Source organism: Homo sapiens, chromosome X (assembly GCF_000001405.40).
Source record: "Homo sapiens chromosome X, GRCh38.p14 Primary Assembly".
NCBI lineage: Eukaryota > Metazoa > Chordata > Mammalia > Primates > Hominidae > Homo > Homo sapiens.
The window spans coordinates 122,532,782-122,540,781 of record NC_000023.11 but is presented as its reverse complement, the minus strand read 5'-3'; the positions used below and the strand labels follow the sequence as shown (position 1 = coordinate 122,540,781).

General features: G+C 35.1%; 1 pseudogene; it reads right to left on the bottom strand.

Moving 5' to 3' along the window:
* Positions 1,266-2,550, bottom strand: RPL3P12 (ribosomal protein L3 pseudogene 12; annotated as a pseudogene).

Below are 8,000 nucleotides of genomic sequence, written 5' to 3'. Positions count from 1 at the left end.
CCTCTATAAATTTTGTTCTCTTATTACTACAGTGTATGGTTTGCATGTTTTGTCCCTTACAAATCTCATGCTAAAGTGTGACCTCTAATGTTGAAGATGGGGCCTAGTAGGGGTCATGGGGACATATCTCTCCTCAGGAATTGCTTGGTGCCCTCCTTTGTGGAAATGAGTGAGTTTTCACTCCGTGTTCACACGAGATCTGGTCATTTCAAAGAGTGTGGCGCCTCTCCTCTCTCTCTTGCTCCCTCTCTCACCATGTGACATGCTGGCTCCCCTTCCACCTTTCACCATGATCATAAGCTTCCTGAGGCCGTCACCAGAAGTACATACTGGTGCCATGCTTCTTGGACAGCCTGCAAAACCATGAGCCAAAGAAGCCCCTTTTCTTTCTAAATTACCCTGCTTCAGGTATTCCTTTTATTGCAATGCAAATGGGCTACCACATACAATATTGAGTTGTAGTTTTCTTTTTAAATTCTGTGTATAGGTCTTTTATCAGATATGTATTTGGCAAATATTTTCTCTTTGTGGCTTTTTAATGTTTGTAAAATTGTGTTTTAAAGAACTACAGTTTTCAATTTTAATTATGTCTTATTTATTGTTTACTTTTCTTTCATGGTTTGTATTCTTGCATAGTCACTATATCTTTGGATAGTCAAAATTCAGGAATATTTTCCCCTAGGTTTGCTTTTAGAAGTTTTATAGTTTTACATTTACGTTATGATATATTTTTAATTAATTTTTGTATGTGGTTTGATGTATGGTTCAAGGTTCATTTATTAATAGAGATCCATACATTTCCCAGCAACATTTTTCAAAAGACTATCCTGTCCCAGTGAATTATATTGGCAGTTTGTCAAAGAAATCAATGGGACATATAGATCCATGTCTATTTCTGGATTCTCTATTTTGTTCCATAAATCTCTATGTCTGTCCTTTTATCAATGCCACACGGACTTGATAATTATAAACTTGTAAGCCTTAAAATTAAATAGTAAAATACCTTGAATTCTATTTTCCTTAAAGTTGTTTGCATAATTCCAGGTTCTTTGATTTTTTCATATAAAATTTATATTTAGCTTGATAACTTTTATGAAAATAAAACAGCCTGATGGAATTTTGACTGAGAATGTCTTGATTCCTATCAGGAAATTTGATATCTTAATATATTGTTTTGTAATGTATGATCACTGTATATCTCTCCTCTTACTTAGATCTTTCTAGATTTCTCACAGAAATGTTTTATTTGTATTTATTAATTTTTTTCAGTGGAAAATAATTTTTATTGAGACCCCACCAAGTGCAAAATCTGTTCCTGGCATTAAGCACCTTCTTCCTTTGCAATTTGGTCTTTCTTGAGTGGTCTCACGAATGCTTTCTTCTTCATGGTCTGGAAGTGGCAATGGCCAAAGTTGGAGGTGGTGTCAGTGAACTTAAGGTCAGTCTTCTCCAGAGCCTGCCATTTGGTCTGGACCAGCAAGGACTTGCAGAGGGTGAGCACTTGCTTCTTGGTTCCCACCACATAGCCTTTCAGCATGACAAAGTCATTGGTCACTTTGCCACAGTGGACAAAGCCACCCAGAGAGTTGATGCTCTTGTCAGACAGGTCATAGTCAATGGAGGCATTGTTCTTGATCAGTTTGCCGTCCATGATAGGGTAGCCCTGGCCGATCTTATAGATCTTCTTGTTGATCTCAGTGCCATGATGGTAGCCTTTCTGACCAGCGTGTGACACAGAGAAGGCCACATGGGCAAGATGCCATGCCCCAATACAGGCCACCTTGCATAAGCCTCGGTGGGTCTTGTGGGGCAGCTTTGTGGTGTGCCAACAACTGGTGACCCCTTTGTAGCCTTTGCCCTTGGTCACCCCGATGACTTTGATCATCTCATCTTGCCCAAACACTTGGTTGACAGGTACCTGCTGCTCGAGCCTCTTCTGGGCCCAGTCCAGCTTCTCAGCCACAGTGCCTCTGTTCACCTAGATCTCCATCAGGTGGGCTTTCTGGTGCAGAGGAAGCAGGCGTATCTGGGTGTGGGCAATGACGCGGATGACTTGGCAGTACTTCTTCATGCTGCTGAAGTCCTTCTACACCTGCTTTTTGCCATCCTCTTTCTGCCGTTTCTTGCAGTACTTGGTAAAGGGCTTCTTCTTAGATTTATGTCAGTTCTTATAGAAACGCCTTTTGCACTCACTGCTGATGTGCTCAGCAAAGATGGTCTTGAAAGTCCAGATGCCTCGAAGGGTTTCCCCATATCCCACAATGCCCACAACCACCATGGGTGGTTGTCTCCACAATGGCCACAGCCTCTACCACCTCCTTCGTACTCACCTTGGATCCTGGCCTATTGACTTCCCCTCACGATGTGGGTCATGCCAACCTTGTATCTCAAGAAGGCTGTGAGGTGGACCAGCTTGGAAGGGTCATCCTTAGGGAAACTCTTCACCTTCCCACAATGCCTGCAATTGTGCTTTCAAGGCAGGAAGCCGAGGGACCCATGTCTGGGAGTGGAGAACTTTCTGTGAGATATCATGCCGTCAAATCCCACTGGAGAAATGTTTTATAGTTTTAAGCACACAAGCATTACATTTTGTTAGGCTTATTTATGAGTATTTCATATCTCAATACTATTATAAATGGTACCGTTTTCTTCATTTAAATTTTCAGTTGTTCACTGGTGGAGTATAAAATTTCAATTGACTTTTATATATTGACTTTGCATTCTGTGATGGTGAAAAACTTGCTTCTCAGGTATAACAGATTTTTTGAAAGATTATTATTTCTTTATAAATAGACAATCATGTCATCTGAAAATAATTACAGTTTAATTTCTTCTTTTTCAATTTAGCTGCCTTTTACTTACTTTCTGTACCTGATTGCACTGGCTAGGACCTACAATATTATGTTGAATACAAGTGGTGATAGTGAACACATCCTTACCTTGTTTCCGATACAATAAAGAAAATATTAAGTCTTTCACCAGGAAGTCTGATGCTAACTGTATATATTACAGACATGCCTTTTCTCAGGTTGAGAAAATTTCCTTATATTCCTAGTTTGTTGAGAATTTTTGAATAGATGTTAACTTTGTCAAATGCTTTTTCTGCATCTATTGAGATAAATCTTATATAATTTTGATTTTTTCTTGTTGATATTTTGAATTACATTGATTAATTTTCCAATGTTGAAACAACCTGGTATTCATGTAATAAACCCCACTTGGTCATGATATATTATCCTTCTTATATGTTGCTGGATTTGATTTACTAACATATTTTTTTCAGAATTATTTGTCAAAGTTCGTGAAGGAGTTTGGTCTTTAATCTTCTCTTCTTGTAATGTCTCTGTCTGACTTGGTGTCATGGGAATTTGGGCCTCATAAAATTATTTGAAAATTTCTCTCCTCTTTTATTTTCTAGAAGAGTACTTGTAGCATTGGTTTTAGTTCTCCTTAAATGTTTATTATATATTGCCACTGAAGACATTTTTAGCCGTGGATTTTCCCTGTGCAAAATATTTTCACTGAAAATTGTATTTGTTTACTAATTATATTTGTTTGGGTTACTCTATTTTTTTCAATAAATTTTGCTAATTTTTGATTTTCAAGAGTTGTGGTCCATTTTATGTATTAAATTTATTGACATAGAATTTTTAAAATATTCACTTATGCTTTAAATTTCAGAAGTATGTGTAGTGATGTCTCCTCTTTTATTTCTTATATTGGTAATTTGTGTTTCTTTGTGCTTTATTTTGTCTTCATTTGACCAACTAGAAGTATTCTTTTTTCATCTTGCAGAAAAATCAGTTTCATTTTATTGATTTTCCTTGTTGTTTATTTTAAATTTTGTTGATTTCTCTTTTATTGTTTTTACTTTTACTACTTATTTATTGCTCTTGCTTTCCTTCATTCTACATGCCTTGTGTCTCAAATGTTCTACTTCCCCTAGTTACTTAAGGGGAAATATTTAATTATTAATTTTAGACTTTTCTTATTCTTTACTAATGTAAGCATTTAATTCTATAAAATTTCCCCCAAGCTCTACCTTAGCTGTGTCCCACAAATTTTGATATATTGTGATTCTGTTTTCATTTAATTCAAAGGGTATTTAGCATATCTTATGCTTCCTCTTTGACCATGGGTTATTTAGAAGTGTGCTGCTAAATATACAAAAATAGAGAGAATTGAATTGACAGGTTTTTCCTTCAATACTTTAAAGATATGAATTCACTAATATCACACTAACATGGATTCAGACAAAAGTATGCTGTAAATCTTATGTTTGTTCCTGTATATGTAATATGTGATTACCATTTGCTCTGTTTGATTTCGGTAACTGTGTCACTTCAAAAATGCTGCATAAATGGAATCACATTACATGTAATATTTTGTGGTTGCCTTTTTCACTAAGCATAATTCCCTTAAGTTTCATTTAAGTTCTTGCAGGTATCAAAAGCTTATTCCTGTTTATTGCTGAGTAGCATTCCATGGTGTAGAGGTACACAGTTTAACCATTAACCTATTGAAGGGCATTTGCACTGATTCAATTTTTGATAATTGCAAGTAAAGTTACTCTCAACATTCATCTACAGGATTTCGTGTGAACATAAGTGTCCATTTTTCTGAGATAAATGCCCAAGAGTGCAATTGCTGTGTCATATGGTAATTGCATGAACAGTTTCCTCAGAAACTGCCAAACTGATTTTAGTTTCTGTACTATCTTACAGTACTACCAACAATGTATCAATTATCTAGGTGCACTGCATCCTCATCAGAATTTTATGTTATTACAATTTCTTATATTTTAGCCATTTTAGTAAGTGTGTTTTAAGTTGCATCTCTTTGTGGCCTTCATTCGTATTTCCTCCAATGGCTAATGATGTTGAACATAGATCCATACGCTTGTATGCCACATATATAGCCTCTTCAGTAAAATGTCTCTCATATATTTTGCCTATTCTCTAACTATATTGTTTACTTTCTGATGTTAAGCTTCAAGAATTCTTTATATATTCTAGATGCAAGTTTTTTTTTCAGATATGCAGCATGCAGATATTTTTGTCTAATGTGTAGCTTGTATTTTCACCCTCTTATAGTGGTTTTTGGAAGAGCAGAAGTCTGTAATTTTGATGAAGTCCAATTCATAAAATTTTCTTGGACATTTTCAGTGTCAAGTCTAAGAATTCCTTGCCTAGCCCTAGATCCTGAAGTTTTTCTCCTACTTTTTCACTAAAAGCTTTATAGTTTTATGATTTACATTTAAGTTTCTGGTTTATTTTGAGGTAGTTTTTGTATAAGGTGTGAGACTTAAGGGAGGAGCTATATATCTTTTGCGTATGTATGTTCAGTTGTTCTAAGAAAATATGTTGAAAAGACCATTTTTTTCTCTAATGAATTGCTTTATGTCATTGCAAAAAATTAGTTGGGCACATATGTTCATTTCTTTCTAGGTTCCTTTTTCTACCTCATTAATGCCTGTGTATATCTCTTGCACAATATCACAGACTTGATTAGTATAGCTATCGAATATCTTGAAATTTTGTATACTCAGTCCTATCAATTTATTTTCAAAATTGTTTTAGTTATTTTCATTCCATTGATTTTTATATAAATTTTATTTTATTTTTATACTTTAAAAAATTTAAATGTTGTGCATATATAGTAGGTGTATATATTTATGGGGTACATGATATGTGTTGATATAGTATGCAATGCATAATAATTACACCATGAAAAATGGGGTATCTATCCCCTCAAGCATTTATCCTTTGTGTTATAAACAATTCAATTGTATAATGTTAGTTATCTTAAAATATACAATTAAATTATTATTGACTATAGTTACCGTGATGTGCTAGCAAATACTAGATTTCATTTGTATTAGTCTGTTTTCACAATGCTGATAAACACATAGCTGAAACTGGGAAATTTATAAAGTGAAAGGTGTTTAATGGACTCACAGTTCCATATGGCTGGGGAGCCCTCACAATCATAGTGGAAAGTGAAAGGCACATCTTATGTGATGGCAGACAAGAGAGAAAATGAGAGCCGAGCAAAAAAGAATACCCCTTATAAAACCATCAGATCTCGTCACACTTATTCACTTTCACGAGAGCGGTATAGGGAAAACTGCCCTAATGATTCAATTATCTTCCACTGGGTCCCTCCCACAACAGGGGAGCTACAATTCAAGATGAGATTTGGGTGGGGACAAAGCCATACCATATCATCATTTGTTCGTTCTATTATTTTTGTACCAGTTAACCATCTCCATCTTCCCCCCCAACCTCCCATTACTCTTCCCAGTATTTGGCAACCATATTTCTACCACCACCATGAATTCAATTGTTTTGATTTTTATATCCCACAAACAAGTAAGAACATGTGATGTTTGTATTTCTTTGCATGGCTTATTTTACATAACATAATGGCCTCCAGTTCCATCCATGTTGTTACCAATGATAGGATCTTATTATTTTTTATAGCTGAATAGTACTCCATTGTGTGTATGTGCCATATTTTCTGTATCCATTCTTCTGTTTGATGGACACTTAGATTTCTTTCAAATCCTGGATATTGTAGACAGTGCTGCAACAAACACGGGAGTGCAGATATCTCTTTGATACACTGGTTTCTTTCCATTTAATGTACACCCAGCAGTAGGATTGATGTATCATATGCTAGCTCTATTTTTAGTATTTTGAGGAACCTCCATACTGTTCTCTGTTCTGGCTGTATTAATTTACAATAGCACCAACAATGTACAAGGGCTCCACTTTCTCCACATCCTCACCAGCATTTGTTATTGCCTGTCTTTTGAATATAAGCCTTTTTAACTGGGGTTAGATGGCATTGCATTGTAATATTCATTTGCATTTCTCTGATGATGAGTGATGTTGAGCACCATTTAATATAACTGTCATTTTTACATCTTCTTTCTTTTAAAGATTTATTTATATTTATTTATATATTTTTAATTTTTATGGATACATAGCAGGTGTACATATTTATGGGGTACATGAGATGTTTTGATAAAGGCATGCAATGTGAAATTAGCACATTAGGGAGAATGGGGTATCCATCCCCTCAAGCATTTATCCTTTGTGTTACAAACAATCCAATTATACTCTAAGTTATTTTTAAAAGTAATAATAAGTTATCATTGATTTTTGTCACTCTATTGTGCTATCAAATAGTAGGTCTTATTCATTCTTTCTATTTTTTGTACCCATTAACAATCCCCACATCCTTTCCCACTGTTCCAGTATACTTCTTAGCTTTTGCTAACCATCTTTCTACTCGCTATATCCATGAGTTCAATTGTTTTGATTTTTAGATTCCACAAGTGAGTGAAAACATACAATGTTTGTCTTTCTGTGCCTGGCTTATTTCACTTAACACAATGGTCTCCAATTCCATCCATATAGTTGAAAATGACTGTATCTAATTCTCTTTTATAGCTAAATAGTATTTGACTGTGTATATGTACCACATTTTCTTTATTTATCTGTTGATGGACACTTAGTTTACGTCCAATCTAAGCTATTGTAAACAGGGCCGCAATAGACGTAGGAGTGCACATATCTTACCAATATACTGATTTCCTTTTTGAGGGGTTATGTACCCAGTAGTGGGTTTGCTGGATCATATGGTACCTTAATTTTTAGTTTTTCTGAAGAACCTCCAAACTGTTTTTCACAGTGGTTGTACTAACTTACATTCCCACCAACAGTGTACAAGGGTTCCTTTTTCTCAACATCTGTGTGAGCATTTGTTATTACCTGTCTTCTGGATACAAGCCATTTTAACTGGGATGACGTTAGATCTCATTGTAATTTTGACTTGCATTGCCCTGATGATCAATGATGTTGAACAACTTTTCACATGCCTGTTTGCCTTTTGTATGCCTTCTTTTGAGAAATGTCTATTCAAATCTTTGGCTTGTTTTTTGGTTGAATTATTAGATTTTTTTCTATAGAGTTGTTTGAGCTCCTTATATATCC